Below are 21,656 nucleotides of genomic sequence, written 5' to 3' on the forward strand. Positions count from 1 at the left end.
AATATTAGTTTATTTTCCTCCTTCTATCTCATAGATAGATGTCATACATTTTTTAAGGATTCACTTAATCGCAATTTTTCGTAACATTGTACACAGTTGCTCTGAACATCTACTCATCTCTAGAATTTGTTCCCTACGGTTTGGCCCTTAGTCATGGCCACAGTTTTGCCATTTGCATTTTGTGATAATTTTTAGTCTTGTTTTTCCAACATCACTGGGATTCCTTCAGGTCAGGACCTGAAGGTCCTCTCCTTCCTTCTCAGATGTTTTCTGCAGTGCCGAATTCACAGTTCAAAATCAATACATGTATTCATATTTTGTGATTGACTGATTGATTGAGATTGTCTCTAAAGTATTCTTAGTGACCAGGGAAATTCCATTTGGATTTTAAAAATTAATTGTAGATAATAGACTTTGTGAATCCAGTGGCAAATGAATAATTAAGGTTTGGCTGTGATTTGCCCTCATATGGCATTCATCAATTTCAAGTTACTTTATGTTAAAATTTGTCATAAATTAATTTTGGGGAGTGAAATATGATTACATTTCAAAACTTTTGAAAGATAAAGGAGAAAAAAATCCCTCTGTAAACTTATCACAGTCCTTACAAAATTTTTAACTCAATTCAAGTTACTCTAATATTATATTATTGATACAATAAATTATATTGATAGGTTGCTAGGTAGAAAATAGGTTACTGTCTTCTTTTTGCAGATGGTGAAACTGAGGCTCAGGGATTCAAGAAAGTTGTGCAATTTGACATCAGAAATCAGGGTGAAGACACATGAGGAAGGTGGGTGTCTTGATAGTTTCTCCCAGCATGGTGCCCACAGGTTATGTTAGAACACTTACCTCCCAGAATCACTGGTTTGAGCTTTCATGACTGATAGGAATTAAAATTCAAGGGTTTACCAAGAAATTGCGTTGCCTTATTTTCATTGCGTGTTTAGTTGCCTTCTAGTATTATGTCAAAGTTTCTTAACATCAATAGAAAGAGAAGAATTTGCAAAAACCAAATGACTACGGCATTCAGTTGCATCCTTATAAGGGACCTGGATTCAGCTAGATCGTTGAGGCTTTGTTAGACCTTAAGCAGCATTGACAGTTTAAATTCGAGATTTCAACCCTTCCATAAGGCTGTTAAACTAGCCAGAAAATCTGGAGCATTTGAGAAATTCCACAGATTGAGGGGACACAAATGGACTGAAAGGAACCCAATTCTGGAGCTCAGGACCCAGGTGGAGGTGGAAGCAGGAGAGCAGTACCAGGGGTGCCAAGGCTCTGAGCTCCTCACATGACAGGGCTCCTTGAGCTCAGCTCTGTCCATTCCCACAATGCACCTGGTCCTTCCCATAGAATGGATCTTAGTATTTTGAGTGAGAGTCAGGAGAATATTATACTAGAGTCATCTTGCTGTCCTGTGTGGAATACACTGGGTTGCCCATTTAGTGAGTGTTTAAGTGCCTGTAGCATGCACACAATGTGCAGAGGGTTCAGAAACAGATTCAGAGAACATCAGAGGTGGAAGGCATCCTTACGCACTTTGTAGAGACGTCATGGGACTTGGAGCACTTCTGGGATTTGCTCAAGTCTTCTAACTAACCAGCCCAGTGCCATTTGAATAATCCCAGGTGTCCTATTTCAGTAGATTTTGATTTGCCCCACCTTTGTCCAAGTTTACAGTTTTCTGTTTATAATCATCGAGCAGGGCCCCAGGTTTCCTGTCTACAAAGGGGATAGAAGTGGAGTAAACTCCAGACAAAAAGGCCGTTTCCTACCCACTTGGACCTTCTGATGCCCTCCAAATCTATTTTTACACTTTTATATTATAACTTTTGTTTTCCAGTGGTTTCTTCTGCATCCCTATAGCCTTCTTGCCAGGAATCGAGTCCCAAGGATTCTTTTTTCAATTTCTTTTTTTAAAAAATGATTTCAACTTCTATTTTAGATTCAGAGGGTACATGTGCAGGCTTGCTACATGAGTATATTGTGTGATGCTGAGGTTTGGGGAACGATTGATCCTATCACTCAGGTAATGAGCATGGTAGCCAATAGTTGGTTTTTCAACCCTCCCCATCTCCTTCCACCCTCTAATAGTCCCCAGTGTATATTGTTGCCATCTTTATGTCCATGAGTACCTGTGTTTAGCTCCCACTTATAACTAAGAACATGTACTATCTGGTTTTCTTTTCCTGTGTTAATTTGCTTAGGATAATGGCCTCCAGCTGCATTCATGCTGCTGCAGAGGACATGATTTCATTCTTGTTTTTTTTCTTTTTTCTTCGAGATGGAGTTTCGCTCTTGTTGCCGGATCGGAGTGTAATGGCGCTATCTTGGCTCACTGCAACCTCCACCTCCCAGGTTTAAGCGATTCTCCTGCCTCAACCTCCCAAGTAGATGGGATTACAGTTACCTGCCACCACGCCCAGATAATTTTTTGTATTTTTAGTACAGACGGGGTTTCACTATGTTGGCCAGTCTGGTCTCGAACTCCTGACCTCAGGCGATCCACCCCGCTCAGCCTCCCAAAGTGCTGAGATTACAGGCATGAGCCACCATGCCTGGCCAATTTCATTCTTTTTTATGGCCACATAGTATTCTGTAGTGTATATGTCCCACATTTTCTTTATCCAGTCCACTGTAGATGGGAACTTAGGTTGATTCCATGTCTTTGCTATTGTGAATAGCACACAATAAACATGGGAGTGCCAATGTCCTTCTGGAAAGAACAAGTTATTTTCCTTTGGGTATATACCCAGTAATGGGATTGCTAGGTTGAATGGTCATTCTGTTCTAAGTTCTTTGAGAAACCTCCAAACTGCTTTCCACAGTTGCTGAACTAATTTACATTCCTACCAATAGTGTCTAAGTATTCTCTTTTCTCCACAGCCTCACTAGCATCTGTTGTTTTTTGACTTTTTAATAATAGCCATTCTGACTGGTGTGAGATGGTATCACCTTGTGGTTTTGTTTTGTATTTCTCTGATGATTAGTGATGTTGAGAACTTTTATATAAACTTGTTTGTTGCTCATATGTCTTCTTTTGAGAAGTGTCTGTTCATGTCTTTTGTCCACTTTTTAATGGGGCTCTTTGTTTTTTGCTTGCTGAGTTGTTTAATTTCCTTATGGATTCTGGACATTAGACCTTTGTAGGATGCATAGTAGTGGATATTTTCTCTCATTCTGTAGGTTGTTTGTTTACTCTGTTGATAGTTTCTTTTGCTGTGCAGAAGCTCTTCAGTTTAATTAGCTCTCACTTGTCAATTTTACTTTCTGTTGCAATTGCTTCTGAGGACTTAGTCGTAAATTATTTCCCAAAACTGATGTCCAGAATGGTGTTTCCTAGGTTTTCTTCCAGGAGTCTTATAGTTTCAGGTCTTACATTTAAATCTTTGATTCATCTTGAGTTATTTTTTGCATACGGTAAAAGGTAGGGGTCCAGTTTCATTCTTCTGCATATGGCTAGCCAGCTATCCCAGCCCATTTATTGAATAGTCAGTCTTTTCCCCACTGCTTATTTTTGTTGACTTTGCCGAAGATCAGATAGCTGTAAGCGTGTGGCTTTATTTCTGGGTTCTTTATTCTGTTCCATTGGTCTAGGTATCCTTTTTCTTACCAGTACTATGCTGTTTTGGTTACTGTAGTCTTACAGCACATTTCGAAGTGTGCTACAAGTATGATACCTCTGGCTTTTTCCAAGGATTCTAATGGGAGTCCACTGGACACTTTATCCCAATGTAGCTTAAATATTATGACAACGGTCTTTTGCTATCGGAGGAGGTCACGAACTTAAAGAATGTGGTCCCAGATGAGCAGGCATTATTATAGTCACCTTCTGTCAGGGTGAGGGAGAGGACAGAGAGGGGAACCAGCCAGTTCAGAGACACCCAGCAAATCAGGATGGACTGCCCTCAAGTGCACACCCCTGTGTACTTGCTCCCATAGGGAAATGACAGTGACCTAGACCTCCAGGGCTCAGGATTCAGGCTGTCCAGAGCACTCATGGTCTCTCCGCATGCCTCTTCTCTCTCACCCTCCAGAAAGCTTTCAAACAGCTCAAGTTTCACTGCGGGTTGGAGTGGGAGGCAGGCTGGCCTGGCTGCAGCAGTAATTTGTCTGGTTTACTAGGTCAGTTTCCTGTCAGGCTCACTGTGGTTTAAAATTATTGTGGAGCCCGGTTTCTTATTGACAGAGGCTTTATAAGCCCCCAGTATGTCTGTCCCTGCTTCCATCCCGCAGGGAGCAGCTTGTCCATAACCTTTCCAGGCATTGCTTCTATTATTGAGGGCTAGATATTGTTTTCCTGGGTGACCTGTGATGTAGTACAGTACCACGGCTTTGAATTCCACATTTTGGGGCCTAAAGAAGGGTTGATGCTGACTTTCCTTAGCTCCATTTCTGGTGAAACACTGCAACACAATTTCTTTTTTTGAAGGAAATCTCACTTGATTTGTAAATGCAGCCTATTGTCTTATTCTTCCTCCTTTACCTATATGCTGGCTTGTCTGGCAGTCATCAGCCACATGTAGCTATTGCACACTTGACATGGGGCCAGTTCAAATTCAGATGTCCTCTATGTACAACAAAGCATGTAAAATAGCTCATGAAAAATTTTTATATTGACTGTATGTTGAGATGATAATATTTTAATATATTGGCATTAAAAAACCATTAATTTCACCTGTTTCCTTTTGCTTTGTGAATGTGGCTAATTTGTGTTAAATGTGGAAAATGTTTAACTTACACGTGTGGCTCCCATGAAGTTTCTGTTGAACAGCATTGATCTACATCAGTTTATTTTCTCTAAAATGCCAACGGCTTTTGTAATCCTACTACTATTTGAAAGACCAGGGTTCAACTCCTGGTTCCTAGATCACTAGTTTGTCATCTCCAGCAAGTTGCTGCCCTATACTTAGCTTCAGATTCTTCACCGATTGCTAATTTAACACTGCCCACGCTACCAATCTCTCATGGAATTTTATAGGTGGAAGGGAATCTTTTGAAATGCATAGCACTGGCTGTAAGGAATTAGAATGATCGTTAGGTGGTAACAGCTGCCATCTCTAATAGAGGATCCAGTACATCCAGGATTATTCCTCATCTTCCACTTCGTGCAAGGAGAAAACTGTGAGAAACTTTTTCTTCCTAAAAGTTAAGAACAGCAGTTTGAGAGGCTTAGACTGTCCTTTGGTTAACAGTTCCCAAAACAGATCTGAATAGGTAAAAACAAAGAGGCCATCCAATTGGATGAGGAAAGACTGAAAGTTGCTGGCATTTCATTTCCTTTGTTCTCATTCTTGGTCATCAGAATAGAAACTGATGGGCAGTGAGTGGGGTGGACGGCCTCTGCAAAGTGGCCTGATCAGATTCCTGAGCATCTAGGTCATTGGGCAGGATGGCGCCTGGCTGGAGCCACCGTTGCTCTCTTCTGACCTTGAAAGGTGTGACAAGTGGATCTGCATTCATTGCTCTGTGAGCCTCTATTGAGTATCTATGATGTGCTGGGCATTGACCTGATCTTTATGAGAATTTGGTAAGCCTGCAAAGGAGTAAGTAGTGGAAATGAGAAAAAGTGTGTGTTTGATATTAATCAACAATGACAACAATCAAACAAACTAGAGACAGGAAAGAATGTAAGATACTCTTCCCTTCCTGTATTTTTTTGCTTCTTTTATTCAGAGACCCTGACACTTACGGTTCTTTGGAAATGAATGTAGGAATGAGTGAATGAGTTGTTTATATCAAAATAGACATATTTATTTGTAAAATAAAACCATTTTGGTGTTGTGATTATCTTTTAAGTTCCCAAATAAGGTGCTCGAAGATGTTAGGTATCAGTTTGGAGCAAAGAGGGAATCAATAAATACTTGATGATTTAAAAGTTAACTGATAATGTCGCATACCAGAGAAGGAGGATTCACCCTCTGTTTATCTGATGTCATAGATTTTTCTGAGGGGTGGAGAGAATGATTTCTCCTTCGAACCATACAGATATAATTTTATGTCAACACAAAAATGTGATGATACTATACATGCACTTTGTTGCTGTTGTAAGTGTGGTTTTCCTTTTCTGTTTTTGCTTGGCTCTTCCTTTCCCCACTCTTGTTCCCATCAACTTGACCTCTGCCCATGAGGTACATATTAGCATACTAATATATTTCCATCTTCACTTTTCTCCATCCTCACATAATCACACACACATCATCATCATCATACACATATAACATGTCTTTTGTCACAGTGCATTTTTATTAAATGGAGTAAAATTCTATCCTTTCCTCATTCAATGATACTGCATGGACATTCCACCAGGGCATCTAGTATAGCTCCAACTCATTCTTTTTTGTTTTCTGAGATGGAGTCTCACTCTGTCACCCAGGCTGGAGTGCAGTGGCGAGATCTTGGCTCACTGCAACCTCTGCCTCCCAGGTTCAAGCAATTCTCCTGTCTCAGTCTCCTGAGTAGCTGGAACTGCAGGGACATGCCACCATACCTGGCTAATTTTTGTATTTTTAGTAGAGATGGGGTTTCACCATATTGGTCATGCTGGTCTTGAACTCCTGACCTCAGGTGATCGACCCACCTCAGCCTCCCAAAATGCTGGGATGACAGGTATGAGCCACCACCCCAGGCTGTCCAACTCATTCTTTTTAATGACCACATAATATTCCATTCTGTTGATATATCATCATTTCTCAATCATCCCTTAGCAATAGGCATTCACTTTGTTTCTAGGTGTGTGTGTTTGTTTCTTTTTGACACTGTGAACAATGCTTGTCTACATATCCTTTTTTTTTGTACTGGCATTTTTATTTATATAAGTTAAGTCTCAGGGCTGAGATTACAGAGTATATATGTATTTTAAAATTTTAATAAATATTTGTTCCATTACTTTTTAAAAGCCTGTAACAATTCATATTTTCATAAACTGTGTAAGAAACTAATTCTTTGCCACATTTTTACCCAAAATGGTGTGTTTTCTTTTTGTAAGAAATATTTTATAAGTATAATTGATCTAAATTAATAATTCATTGCTCTGGACCAAGGTTCTTAACCATTATTTTGGCCATGGACTCCTTCTCAAAATACTAGTTTTTTGTTTGTTTGTTTGTTTGTCTTGTTTTTTGTTTTTTGAGATGGAGTCTTGCTCTGTCGCCCAGGCTGGAGCGCAGTGGTGCAATCTCAGCTCACTGCAACCTCTGCCTCCTGGGTTCAAATGTTTCTTGTGCCTCAGCCTCCTGAGTAGCTGGGATTACAGACGTGCCGCCACCACACCCAGCTAATTTTTGAATTTTTAGTAGAGGTGGGGTTTCACCATGTTGGCCAGGCTAGTCTTCAACGCCTGACCTCAGATGATCTACCTGCCTTGGTCTCCCAAAATGCTGAGATTACAGGCGTGAGCCACCATGCCAAGCCTGAATACTTTTTTTTTAATAAGCAAAATAAATTACATAGGATTACAAAGAAAAACCAATTATATTGAAATATAGTTATCAATTTTTTTAAATAATGGATACTTGGATGTAGAAAAAAGAGAATAAGTCAAACATATTTTTAAAAACCCTATTTGTGATACAGAAATGTGTGTGTCTCTATTAACATATTAAATAACAAGGTCTACTTGCAGGTCTAATAGCTATCATAAATTAAAAGAAGTGATAAATATAATTGGTATTTCAAGATATATGAACCAACTGTAACATATGAACATATTTATGATTTCTATTGGAGACAAAGTCATAGGTACTGCTAATGATACTGTGGTTTGTTGTAATTGAAGTAAATACAACATTTCAGTTAGAAATTAATGAAACAAATGTAATAGGGCTCTAAGTTCATGAACCACTCAATATTATTCATAGACTCCTTGGGATGACCCTGTCCTCTAAGTTAAATACCCCTGCTTAGACCTTCAGAGAAGAGACCCTAGAGACTCTTTTCTACTCTTTAGTTTTATAGATGAGGAAACTGTGCTTCAGGGACATTATCATAGAGACTGTGGTCCAACCAAGAGCTGAATTCAGATCTCCCGGCTCCCTACCCTAGTATTCTTTTGCCACAAATATCACCTTTCTCTAGGGAAGCCAACCCCAGCAGACAAGGTTTCCTTAGTTTCCTCTGTTTGGCTCCAAATCCTGGTTAGACCACAGATTGAAAAACTATGGTTCATGGGCAAAATCCAGCCTACTGCCTTTTCTTGTACATGCAGTTTCATTGAAATACAGCCATGCCTATTTGCTTACTCACTGCCTATGCTGCTTTTCTGCTACAAGGGGAGAGTAGAGTCGATGCAATGAACCCTATGGACCATGGAGCCTGCAATATTTACCATCTGGCCCTTTACAAGAGCAGTGAGCTGACACCTGGCTTCAACCTACAGTTTGATGTGCTCTCTTGCCTCAACTGTGCTTTGATACTTCACATTCCAACTGTGGTGCTGAGGGGCACAATAGCACTCTTGTTTCAGGGACTGTGCATCAGCTGCTCCTGTTCTCAGGAATACTGGGCCCCCCACCCCCACTCCTATGATTTCACAGAGCTTTCCCTGCTTCACTCCTTTCCCCATGTCCAGTGTATGTGCTCCTAATGTGTGCCCTGTTCGTGTATTGTGCCCACCCCGAATAGCACTAGTTATGTTGTACTGTAATTGAGTTACTTGTTTGTCTCTCATATTATATATAAACACTCCGGCTGGGCACGGTGGCTCACGCCTGTAATCCCAGCACTTTGGGAGGCTGAGGCGGGCGGATCACGAGGTCAGGAGATTGAGACCATCCTGGCTAACACGGTAAAACCCCGTCTCTACTAAAAATACAAAAAATTAGACTGGTGTGGTGGCGGGCACCTGTAGTTCCAGCTACTCGGGAGGCTGAGGCAGGAGAATGGCATGAACCCAGGAGGCGGAGCTTGCAGTGAGCTGAGATCGTGCCGCTGCACTCCAGCCTGGGCAAAAGTGCGATACTTCGTCTCAAAAAAAAAAAAAAAAAAAAAAAACCAAAACACTCCAAGGGCAAGGACTGTGTCTGCCTTGGTCACTGTTATATCTCTAGTATCTGGCTCTAAAGAGATGCTCAAAATATACTTGTTGAGTGGTGAATGAATGAAGAATGAAGTAGGTGAAATTTATCCTCAGTGGCCACTGTCTTGACATCCTGGTCTTTGTGCCTTTTGGTTTAGGGACAGCCATCACTACCCAGCCCCCCTTCATGTGTTTCCAGGAAATAATTTGGTGAACTCATCCTTAAATGACTGATATAGATTAATAGAAGTGCTACAAGAGCAGAAACCTTATACATATTATTTACCCCATCTATCTATTCCCCAGCACTGTGCATTGTATAGAATGTTTAGTAGATATTTGCTAAATAAATTAATGTTTATAGTAGTGCAATTTCGAATTAGGCCAAAGAAACACATCTCTAATTGTGGAATTTCTTGTGTCAGGGTGCTTAGTTGGGGAATATTTTTGGAAATAAGATGTCTTGGAATTTTTTAAAAAAATTGACACATAATGGGCTAGACGCGATGGCACATGCCTGTAATCACAGCACTTTGGGAAGCCAAGGTAGGTGGCTTGAGCTCAGGAATTCATGAGCAACCTGGGCAAGATGGTGAAACCCCATCTCTACAAAAAATACCACAATTAGCCTGATGTGGTGGGGCACACCTTTAGCCCCAGCTACTTGGGGGTCTGAGGCAGGAGAATCACTTGAGCCCAGGAGGTTGAGGCTGCAGTGAGCTGAGATCACACCACTGCACTCCAGCCTGAGTGATAAAGTGAGACCCTGTCTCAAAAAAAAATTGACACATAATAATTGTGCATATTCATGAGGTACATAGTGATGTTTCAATGAACATAATATGTAGTGATCAGTTGAGGGTAATTAGTACATCTGTCATCTCTCAAACACTTATCATTTCTTTGTGTTGGGAACACTCAAAATCCTCCTCCTAGCTGTTTGAAGCTGTATAATATATATATATATATTTTTTTTTTTTTGCTAATTTTTGTATTTTTAGTAGAGATGGGGTTTCACCATGTTGGCCAGGCTGGTCTTGAACTCCTGACCTCAGATGATCCACCCACCTCAGCCTCCCAAAGTGCTGGGATTACAGGCGTGAGCCACCGTGCCCGGCCAATATTATCATTAACTATAGTCATCCTCCTATAGCATGCTAGAACTTTCATTGTGTTTCTGAAATATCACTAATTCCAAGACGTCCCATCCCATCTAACTGTAACTGACCCATCAGGGTAGTTTTGGCATCTCCGGTGTCAGTGTAGATGATTGGAAATGTTAGTGTAACATGAATGAGGAGAGGTATGAAAACCCAGAGAAAGCAAGTATTTTGTGAGAAAGAGTCTGCTATCTTTGTAGCTCCCATAGTTCAAAATTCTTTCACCCCCAAAGTGCAGAAGTTAGTATTTTTCAATGTTTATAAGTAGCTGTGACAGTTCAGCTTCTGAACTCCAGTCCTAGCTTTGCTCTGGGACCACTACTGCTGGCTCTGGCTAAGAAAGAGACTCAGTGTCCCAGGTGCTGTGAGCCCTGAAAGCTTGTTCTCAGGGACATGGCCCTGTCGGGGGCCAGCCCCCATTTTCTTTTATCAGTGCCTAGGGGCTTTCGGTGTTTGCTAGAGATTTGGGCTGCTCCCAGCTATGGAGGATACTGGAAGGTGCCACATGCTACTGTCCAATATTCTATTTTTCTAATACTAGGCTTCTGTATTTTCCCAGTGCCCTGATGTTGTGTTTTCAATGTGGGGATGGAGCCTGTATTGATAAAGAGATCTTACTACCCCCATTCAAAGTACCAGAGAATTTGGATATCTCTCACAAGTTTTTATTTTTATTTTTCCAGCCTTTCGAAGGGCTGGAGAGCTGATCCAGTTACCACTCTTACATTTTTCCAGTTATCAGCTCAGAGAGGGCTCATGAAAGAGAGGGAGGGCAGGTAGGGAAAGTGAGAAAAATAACAAGCATTGCCTTCCACATCTAAAATGTTTTAGCTTTGCTTCCCTGCCGGGCTGAGGCTGGGAAGGACAAGCTCGATTAGCTCTAATAAAATCCTCTTCCTACAAGTCTTGATTCTCGGTAACTTTTCTTGGGTGGAGGGGACATGATAGATTCTCTTTAGATTTAAAGCCTCTTGCCCTGTGGGCATCCAATACCAAGACCCTTTCTTTCCCATGCACAGCCCCCTTATCTAGCCTGCTTGAGAAAAATACTTTATTCTTTTTTTTTTTTTGAGATGGAGCCTCGCTCTGTTATCCAGGCTGGAATGCAGTGGTGCGATCTCGGCTAACTGCAACCTCTGCCTCCTGGGTTCAAGGAGTTCTCCTGCCTCAGCCTCCCGAGTAGCTGGGATTACAGGTGCCCGCCACTGCGCATAGCTAATTTTTGTATTTTTAGTAGAGACGGGGTTTCACCGTGTTGACAAGGCTGGTCTTGAACTCCTGATCTCAGGTGATCCACCCGCCTCAGCCTCCTAAAGTGCTGGGATTCCAGGCGTGAGCCACCATGCCTGGCTGAAAAAAATACTTTATTCTTTTTTTTTTTTTTTTTTTTTTTTTTGAGACAGAGTCTCGCTCTGTCACCCAAAGCAGTGGAGAGCAGTGGCATGATCTTGGCTCTGCAAGCTCCGCCTCCCAGGTTCATGCCATTCTTCTGCCTCAGCCTCCCTAGTAGCTGGGACTACAGGCACCTGTTACCATGCCTGGATAATTTTTTTGTATTTTTAGTAGAGACGGTTTCACCGTGTTAGCCAGGATGGTCTCGATCTCCTGACCTTGTGATCTGCCCGCTTCAGCCTCCTAAAGTGCTGGGATTACAGGTGTGAGCCACTGCACCCAGCCAATACTTTACTCTTGACTCTCCATAGCTCTAGTCCCTCCTGCCCAAGCATTGGTGCAGATTATCTGAGGTGATTTGGTTTTGACCTCCCAATGCCTTGTTTCCCTGGGCATCCAGCCCACCTGGGCCTAAGCCCATAAGGTCTTCATAAAATATCCAGGTGGTCTGGCCTGCTGGATATTCCATAAATGGCCCTTAAATAAAGATGGTACCATTGGCTAAAATAATGTACCACGTCAGGGCAGGGAAATTGTGTAAGTGCCAAAAACTTCCCGGCCCACAGGGCGACTACAGCTCTCATCCCTTCTGGAACATACCACCAGCCTAGGGATGGGCTGTGACGAATATTTGGCCTCAGGCAACGCTGGAGCCCAGGGAAAGCTTTAGTTGCATGTGTGTTTTCTCACAGAATTATAAAGCCCAGCAGCTCTCGGTGCCAGAGGCTGCGGAGAGTTTCTGTGTTTTTCGACTATTCATTAGTGATTACATACCCCCCTGAACACCTGCAAGACCAATTCATAAAGCAAGCATTCATGGACTTTGGCAACAGCTTCATGGGAACTGCAGGGTACGGGGTACGGTCATTGTATCTCCAGATAAAAAACATTCTCTTACCAAGGAGGCCTCTGAAAATAGCAGGCTGCAATTTCAGTTCGACACCACGGGGTATTAAAAAGAAAAGTGTTACTTCACCTCGTCTCTTTATAAAGTCAGCACACTGTGAGGCTGTGGCATTCCTCGACAAATCCTCTTTCAGGACCCTTTCGGGAATGAGAAGAGGGGAGTGGTGGGCACTGCATTGATTGTGACGGGGCCAGCCCGGCCGTGGGTACGTGTGGCATGCTCTCCAGCGAGTGACACTGATTTACAGCAGGATAACAGGAAGTGTGGAGCTTGGGTGGCCTGCTGTGTAATTCTGGGTGACAGATTGCCCCTGCCACTTACAAAAACGGTGCTATAATTAATCCAAACAGGCCAACAATAATAAACAACGAAAAAATAATATCTTTATACAAAATATGGGATTGACCTTTAGTATGATTCTTTTTCACCTTAATTTTTTTTTCTTTTGCGTGCTCTCTGTTAAATAACAGAATGGCAGGGGCTGGAAGAGTATGGCTCGGAAAGACAATGCCGGAACATCGTGGCAGCTAAGTCTGAGCTGAATGCGCAGAATGAGAGGTTTACTCAGAAGTCCTGCGAGGACCATTGCACAGACTAGGGAAGCTGAGTCTTGTCTGGGCATCTGAAAACAAATGTATTTTGTCTGTAGAGGCAACATGAAGTTTAATTTGATTCTATCAGATGAGATTGGCCTGCCTAGAGAATTGAGCAGTTTTTCTTGAGTGTGTGTGTGTGTGTGTGTGTGTGTGTGTGTATGGGGGGGCTCCAACTCTCCCTCTCCCCTCTGCTCTGCCAGTATAGACAGCCTCCAGTGCTCAATTAGCCTCCTGAAGTGCTTCATTCTCTGATAACAGCTTAGACACTAGGAGAAACGGTGTTCACAGTGTGTTTCATCCTCACACGTATAAACACACATAGTCACAAACTCATTTAGGTTAGAAAGGACTTTTAATGGGACATCTGGCTCTCTTCCACTGCTTCTTGTCGAGGCAAAGTAGGTTCCCTTGTTAATATGTATACTCTAGCAATCACACCATGGCTAGGGTCTGTGGCTATATAGAATTATGTTTTGTCTTTTGTTATTGATTCAACTAGTGCAAGGGGGCAAAAGTCAAACCTAAGAAATCATAGTCAGAATTTCCATTTACATGGAAGGAGTGGGGAAGCTTAAATGCTGGGCAAAAAAGGGAAGATGTGGCCAAAAACTCAGTGAAGAGAGGATGATGGTGACAGTGATGACATGATGTATAAATGTAGTAAAAATCTCACTCTTTTTTAGTTGGGGGAGGCAGTAGAGTATAGTGGCTAAGATTATGGATTGTGGAGCTAGATTTCTCGGGTTCAGATCACAGCTTTGCTACTTACTAGCTGTGCGAACTTGGACCCATTTCTTATCTCTCCATTTTTCAGAGTTTAAGGAGCTTCCTCATCTGTAAAACAGCATAATAATAGTTGATTATTTCAGAGGGTTATTGCAAGTATTAAGCAAATTACCATGGGCAAAGCCCTTTAAACAGTGCCCAGCTATGTAAATGTTAACTGTCACCAGTTAAATTATCTAGATCATTGCCTATTGGCAAAGAATTCTGTACATCATCCATTGCATTCTTAGGAATGATCGCTCTACTTCGTGTTTAATAATCACAATTATTAAGCATTTACCGCACGTCAGATATTGTGCATACCCCAACTCTTCTAATACTTACAACAGCTCTCTACAAAGGAGAGTACTGAGATTAGAGAGAGTAATTAGTTCAAGATCACATAGCTAAGAAATAGTAGATTTATAATTCAATCCAGGTCAGCAGGGCTCGTGCCTGTAATCCCAGCACTTTGAGAGGTGGGCAGATCACCTGAGGTCAGGAGGTTGAGACCAGCCTGGCCAACATGGTGAAACCCCCTCTCTACTAAAAATACAAAAATTAGCTGGGTGTAGTGGCAGGTGCCTGTAATCCCAGCTACTTGGGAGGCTGAAGCAGGAGATTCACTTGAACCCAGGAGGCAGAGGTTGCAGTGGGCCAAGATCACACCACTGCACTCCAGCCTGGGTGAAGGAGTGTCTCAAAAAAAAAAAAAAAAAAAAAAAAAAGGAATTCAATCCAGGTCGACTCTGACCACCATATTTTAAATCAACAAGTTGTCCTATCTGTATTTGCCTCTAAAGAGTGAAAAGTAATGACAAATTTTGTATTCCATCTTTTTTTTATGATTGTCTTTAGTGTTCTATTCACTATTTTGAATGTGTGATGTAGGCAATGCTGAAAGTTAGGGAAGCCTTATGTTCATATAGCACTGCTCTAGACAGGTAGACTCAGGGCAGCATGCAGAGGGCATTCATTCTGGAGTCAATCTGCCTGTCACTGCCTCTCTTGATCCCATTACCGCTCAAAATCTCAGTGCCCCCTCAACAAAATGGGAATAATAGAAACTTACTTTGAAGGGCCTTTTCCGCCTTTAAATGAAGTAATATATGTTAAAGACCTGGGATAGGTTTGGCACTTAGTAAATGGTATGTTTTATAACTAGCAGCAATGGTTAACTCCTCAAGGATCTCAATGAGTTATCTTGGGGGAAGTAGAAGCTGATTAATAAAATAGGAAGATTTCACCAGCTGCAGTAATAGTCATAACGTCAGATCCATAAAAATGGTCTATCTACTTCTGTCTCCCAGTATTCATACATAAGCAGTCATTTGAAGCAAGACATTCTTCAAAGAATTCAACCTGTGAAAAAAGTCAGTAAAATCAGGTATCCACTATATCCAGTTTTTCCTAATGGTAGGATATTTTGCTTTGTTAAAGATAATTGCCTCAGCTTTCCAGGGCACTTCCAGTGTGCTTTTGTGGAGGTAGCCATGCTCTATATACTTGAAAAGAGCAACTAGGTTTTGTTAGATAATTCCTTATTTTCTTCATGTCACCTGTTAACTCCAGGCTTGATTCAGCCCCGTCCACAGTGTAGACTCTACGTAGCAGTAATGGAGAAGGTTGTTAGTTACCTAATAATGATGAAACGCTGGATAATTTACCCAGAATAAAAAGCTTGCTCTTTTCTGGATGATCTGGTTAATTATTTGGTTAAATTAGGTTAAAACCTTTTCTGTCGGGGTCTCTAATTATCTGGAAAACCAGGTAACTGTGTCCTTTTAAGAGCTTTTAGACTTGAATTATTCATCGACATAACCCAGCATCCCGGGAAGATTCCCAATTCTTCACCTGCCTTTTTGTGCATAGATTTGGATTGAGACTCTTGAGCTGTTCTATTTACAGCTGCTTGTAGATGCAAAATATTCAAACCATCTCCTTTTTTTTTTTTCCTTTACAAAAGAGAGAACCAACTTTGAGCTGTGAAGATGCTGGTGCTCAGCTTGGAAGATTGGTAGCAAATTTTCCCGAGAGACACAAACAAACACATACATAACTTGAATATCAATGAGGTCTTTTTAGAGGCGACGCATTAAAATGCAAGGCAGGAGATAATGAGATAAGCAGCAAGTTACAGGTTTCTTAATTCTAGCGTGAAAAGAGAGAGGGAAAAAAATAAAAAGAACAGAAAACCCCCCAAAGTAGCTCAGCACAAGAATCTACTGAGCTTGGTATTAGGCTTGTTTGCGGAGGGTGTTAGGGGGCGTTTTCTGTAGTGACCTCAGTGACACAAATAGAACTGGAAAGAATTATCTTGGAGGTGACAGGAAAGATATTAAAACCAGGCCAAAAATTTTTTCTCAGCTCCAGCCTTACAGCTATTTCCTACTTCCACTAGTATATATATCTCTTCTGGTTATGGCTCAACTCTTTCCTGACTATTCTGAAGAAAAAAAAATGGTTCCCGTTTCTTGAGAGCAGACCGGTACCAGACATTGTACTAGGTGCTTTGATCTCTTTTAACCCTTACAGCAATCCTGTTGGTTGATGTTTTTGTCCTCTTGTGACAACTGAGGAGACTAAGGTTCGAGGATTACTACTTAAGGAATAAGACCCAATTTGCTCAGACTCCAGAGGTAGGCTCTTAGCACAGCTGCCTTCTGGATGAACAAAGTTATGCCCAGACAAGTGATTTATCTGCCATGCTTCAGTGTGGCATGGGAAAGACATAGAACAAGAATGAGTCTGGGGCTGCTTAGTGAAGATGTATTTGAAAGAGAATATCACTTGGAGTCAGAAAATCTGGGTACCAGGCTTGCTTCTGCCTCTCACTGTGTGGCTCTGGGTGAGTTCCTTAACTTCTCTGATTCAGTTTCTTCCTTGGTAAAACTGAGATATAAATACCTATTTTTCAGCAGTGTTTTGAGACTTAAGTAATATATGTATATGTGTGAAAGTGAGGAAATAGTCAATACATGTTAAAAAACAAAAACAAAAAGCCAGACCCACACTCCAGGAGGAAATCAGGACAAATACCTACTTTTTTTTTTTTTGCTTCCTCCCTACTCTTGCTGTCACCACCTTCATTTAGGCTTCATCTTTTGTCACTTGGACTTTTGCAACGTTCTGTGTCTGTCAGCATCACCTGCTCCCATGCTTTATCTCTTTCAAGGCATCTTCCCATCTTCTAACAAGACAGAATTCTAAAACTAAAGTATTATATAATCACGTGACTCCCCAGCTTAAGATCCTCCAGTGGCACCTCATGGACCCTGGTGGCTTAAGATCCTCCAATGGCGCCTCACGGACCCTGGGACAAAATCCAAATTTCTCACTGCAATGTGGATCTGTAGTTGTTCTTAAGGATATGCCTTCTGCCTCCTTTATTAGCCCCTGGTCATAACAGGTTGTCCTCTGCCTGCCCACTGGATTGAGCTACTTGCAATCTGATAATGACTTCTCATCCTTTCTAACTTCAGGCCTTTGTACATGCTGTGCCTTCTTTTTGGAATGCCCCTCAGCTCAAACACTCCCTCTGCTCTGAAGCCTTCTCTGATTTTGATAGCCAGAAATAGCCACATTTTTGATACCACAGCTAAAAATTTACCAAATCGTGGCAGTGATTTCCTTGTCTGTGTTTCATCTGCTAGATTGGGAACTCCTGGAAGGCAAGACCAGGGTGATTTATCTTGAGCACCAAGCATGATGCTTCATATGTGTCAGTGATTCACAAAGCACTGCGGGTGGGAATGGGTGATGCACCCATCAGGAGGCTGCTGCAATTGTCCAGGGAAGAAAGTTCCCCAAGAATGGAGGACCTGAACCAGGGCAGCGGCAATGGAGATGAAAAGGGAGATATAGGTTAAAGAGATTTAGGAGATTATTTAACTATAGAAACAATTGTGTGCCAAGTTCAAGGTAGAGAGAAGAATCCAGCACGGTGTTTGACAGTGAGTCAGGCAGGAGAGCAGGATATTTTCAACTGTAACACCATCTATTTGTCATTCAGAAAAGGAGAAAACTAACTGCTTAAGTATAGGTCGTGCCCAAGCTGATCTGAATGATTCAGAACTAACAGTTATAGCAACAGGTCATGAAGATGGTCATGTAGAAACTAGAGGTCTTCAGTCAACTCATGGGTGAGCCCGATCCTTTATAGCAGAGGAAGGAGAGGGGGCTCAGAGGGATTTGTGTTCCCTACCTAGACAGAAAGATTCCTGCCCTTATCATGGCTGAAATGACAAAGAGAGTGATTGCTCTATTGTTCTATTGTCCAGTGTCAAGATGAAGATCCTGTATCTGGATGATTTGATCCAAACCTCCTTCAGCTTTTCTCTCCAAATATTTGGCAATTCTGGGAAGGGCAAGGTTTATTTATTTACTATTTTTATGTTTATTTCTTGAGGGCGCATGGCTATACTTAGATGGGTGGTGCTTAACAGGGAGTAGCACTTCCTACATCTTTGATCAACCTGATATTTTCCATTTGAAAGACTTTCAACCTCCACATTTCATTTACAGATGACAAAAATGAAGTTCCAAAATTCAAACAGACTTTTCTCCATTGACACTAGTGTCAGAAACAGACATTGCCAGACCTAGCTTACCTGTCATTCAGCTCTGGTACATTTTTCACTGTTCCCTGTTAGCCTCCAGTCTTCATAATCAAATGTTTCAAAGACCAGATAGTTAAAATAGTTGGGTACTCCAGAAATTTAACTCCAACAGTTAAAATAGTTGGGTACATTTTTTTGAGGTTTCAGCTACACACCTTGGTTTAGAAGACAAGTCTTGGTCTCAGGACCTGAAGATTTTATAAATTTCAGTTTCAAGAAGAAACTATTTTGCACCCATATTTCTTACACGTTGTTTGGGGATAGGGAGAAGGCTGGACATGGCTTAGACATAGTTGAGTTTAAAGCAGTGGGTTTTACGCTGACTACATCTTAGAATCACCTCAGTGCTTAAAAAATACAGATGCCTTGGTCTCATTCCCAGAGTTTCCAATTTAATTGGTCTGGGGTGCAGTGTGGGCACTGGGATTTCTGCAAGATCCTCATGTATTCCCAGTGTACAGCCAAGGCTGGGAACCCTCTCTTGAACGCCTTGGCTTCCATGAGCTTTAAATGGTTCATAAGAGCTGTTAGCTTCACCTTGTACAGGTGACTGTTCTGAGGCTTTGGCGAGGAAATCAGAATGAGAACAAAGAGAAGCAAAGTTAAGATGTAAGAAAGTATGCAGAATAATGGCTCATTATTCACCAAACCCAGTAAAGGCGGGAGAAGATATTTTCATTTCTGCCAAAGGCCATATGTGAGTGCCTGTGGGGAAAGCATATCCTTAGCTTTGTGACTGAACCAATAATTCATATCTGATTCAGAAGCTGACTTTGTTGGATTTCAGCTCTACAGCTGTTCTCAGTCTAAGTCCAGCCTCTCCCAATGGGACTGATTGTAGCAACACGTCTCATTTATAGAACTCATATGCAGGGGCCTGGAGACCCCAAACTGTAAATTAAAACCTTGTGTATATGACTTTGGTGAATTCAATTCAAAGGCATTTTGGCTTCTCCAAATAGTCCATTTTCACTAGAAAGGGGAGGGGAAAACACAATGGAAAGGAAATAGATCTTTTATATTCATCCTTCCTATTTCTGGTAGGAGGTCTTGAGACAAAGGTAGTAATGAAATAAACTCTAATAAAATGTCAAGGCTTTGGTGGGCCTTGGTGGGGGCATGTGCAGAGGGGAGGAGAGGAGAGGGAGAGCAAGCAGACAGGGAAATGAGAAGTATAGGATTCCAGAGCCTGAGTGTTAGGGCTAAAGTTCCTTAGAGTGTATCTTCTGCTAGAAAACCTCATCAAGATTTATTTATTATGAGAGGCTTTTTCCAAGTTGACAGTGGGAAAAGAAATGGAGAAGCAGAGAGGGGAAACGTTTTGACCAAAGTCACACCAGGTATCAGCAGCAGCAGTGGAACGAGAAGTTCTGCATCTGGGTTCATAACCCAGTGTCCCCTCTCATCATATTGCCTTGAAGATCTGAGAGGGGTGTCAAAGGAGGCCCACGAGGGAAGCAGGTGTTCTAGGTACTGCTCTCCGGGACAGAGGAAGGCTGTGAATCTGAGAACATTTGCAGGAGCGTCAGGCCAAGAGATTTCTCCTTACTTTGCCCCAGAGAAGATAAGGCAAGGGCTCAAGGATGATTAAAAACTGGGGATAGATGTGGGAGACATTTTAGAGGGAGAATCAGTAAGACCTGTGACTGACTCGATTTGGAAGAAGAGGAAAAAGAACAATGAATCAGGGCACACAGACTTCTTCTAGAAACGCTCTGTTTGATCATCAAGGACCTGGTGTTCTCTGTTCATCCCACAGAACATCATTTCATTTTCATTAATTTCTCATTCATATGAGCACATCAGGGTGAACTATGAGTAAGGCAAAGAACACGCAGCTACAGGGACAAAGAAGAGTGAAGAGCTGGCCATGGGATCCAGATTTGATGAGAGTGGGCAGCCCACCCAGCTGAATTCACTCAACAGACAACAGATGCTCCTGAGCCCCTTCTTTGTGCCAGGTCCTGAGGATGCAGAGATAAATGAGACCCAGCCTCCACCTCTGCAGGACCTCAGGGCAGTGAGATTAAAGATACATGTCAGCAAGTAATTGTGATCCTCCTGTGCGAGGAAGCTGAGGAAGGAGCCAGAGTGTAGGGTGCGAGCCATGGTGGGAGAAGCTTCCCAGAAGTAACTTGGAAACTGGTTTTTGGGGGGTGAGTGGGAGTGTGAGGAGGAGGTAGCAAAGCACAGGCGCGGTACGGACACTGGGACAAGGTGTGAAAAGACACCCTTGAGTGGGGGGCGTGGTGACCAGTTGGACTGATGTGTCTAGAGGGTAGGATGTGGGGGGTCATAGGGAGAAATAAAACCGGAAAGGTGGTTTAAGACCAAATTAGGAAGCCATGTCTAGGAGTACAGCCTTCATCCTTAAGGGTATAGGGTGGGATGAGGGTTTTTCATGACTTAGTAAGCCAAGGAGGGACACACTCAGATAGGAGTATTATGAAGTCATTGTCTACCCTGAAAGGATGTGTTAAAGAAGGGGAAAGGCTAGAGGGGCAGAGATAAGGTAAGAGGCCTTTGTAACAGCCCAGATAGAAGGATGATCTAGAAATGGGGATAGATGTGGGAGAGATTTTAGAGGGAGACCCATTAAGACCTGAGACTGACTGGATTTTGGAGAAGAGGGAAAGGACAGGGACAGGAGATAATAATCTCTCACTTTTTTGCCTTTTATGTTTCCTTGTTTAGTTTGTTTACTCCAATTATTTAGATAATGTCTTCAATTCTGTGGATATCCTTGACTGTACTGGTAAACACAAATATTGTCTTCCTGTCAATATTATTTAAAAATCCAGGGATCACACTATTCCTTTTCCTCATCCTACTGTAACCACTGTCATTACTATTACTGATGTCACTACAGGTGTGCTGTTTTGGGAGATAAGACATTTATATTCCAAATACATAAGCCCAAAACAATGTTCTATCCTGCTCTTTCTAGCCACCCCTTACTCCCACCCTATGTAACTGGAATTAATTTCTTAAACACACATTTAAAAAGAGCTTACTGTATACAAAGTGCCATGCCAAGTTCAAGGAAGTTATCCAAGAGCCAAAATGCAAGGCACCATGAGTGTTCCAGGAGTTCAGACAACGGGAACACTCTGGGGACTGTGGCATCAGGAATGGCCCTGCAGTGGAGGCAGCAACTAAAATTTGAGTCCTGGTGAAAGGAGACAGTTTGAACCATGA

At 42.0% G+C, this 21,656-nt stretch overlaps 2 annotated features.

Annotated features, from left to right (window-relative positions):
- Window positions 4,754-5,953: an enhancer, noted in NCBI's record as "MED14-independent group 3 enhancer chr11:121559556-121560755 (GRCh37/hg19 assembly coordinates)". NCBI's record gives its function as "activates an origin of replication core promoter dependent on BRD2, BRD4, P300/CBP and CDK7 cofactors, and independent of MED14, by STARR-seq in HCT116 cells {active_cell/tissue: HCT116}" and the evidence as "EXISTENCE:reporter gene assay evidence [ECO:0000049][PMID:35650434]".
- Window positions 5,227-5,521: an enhancer, noted in NCBI's record as "tiled region #11087; HepG2 Activating DNase matched - State 9:DNaseU". NCBI's record gives its function as "activates a minimal TATA promoter and a strong SV40 promoter by Sharpr-MPRA in HepG2 cells {active_cell/tissue: HepG2}" and the evidence as "EXISTENCE:reporter gene assay evidence [ECO:0000049][PMID:27701403]".

Source organism: Homo sapiens, chromosome 11, assembly GCF_000001405.40.
Source record: "Homo sapiens chromosome 11, GRCh38.p14 Primary Assembly".
In the NCBI taxonomy this organism is placed as follows: Eukaryota; Metazoa; Chordata; class Mammalia; order Primates; family Hominidae; genus Homo; species Homo sapiens.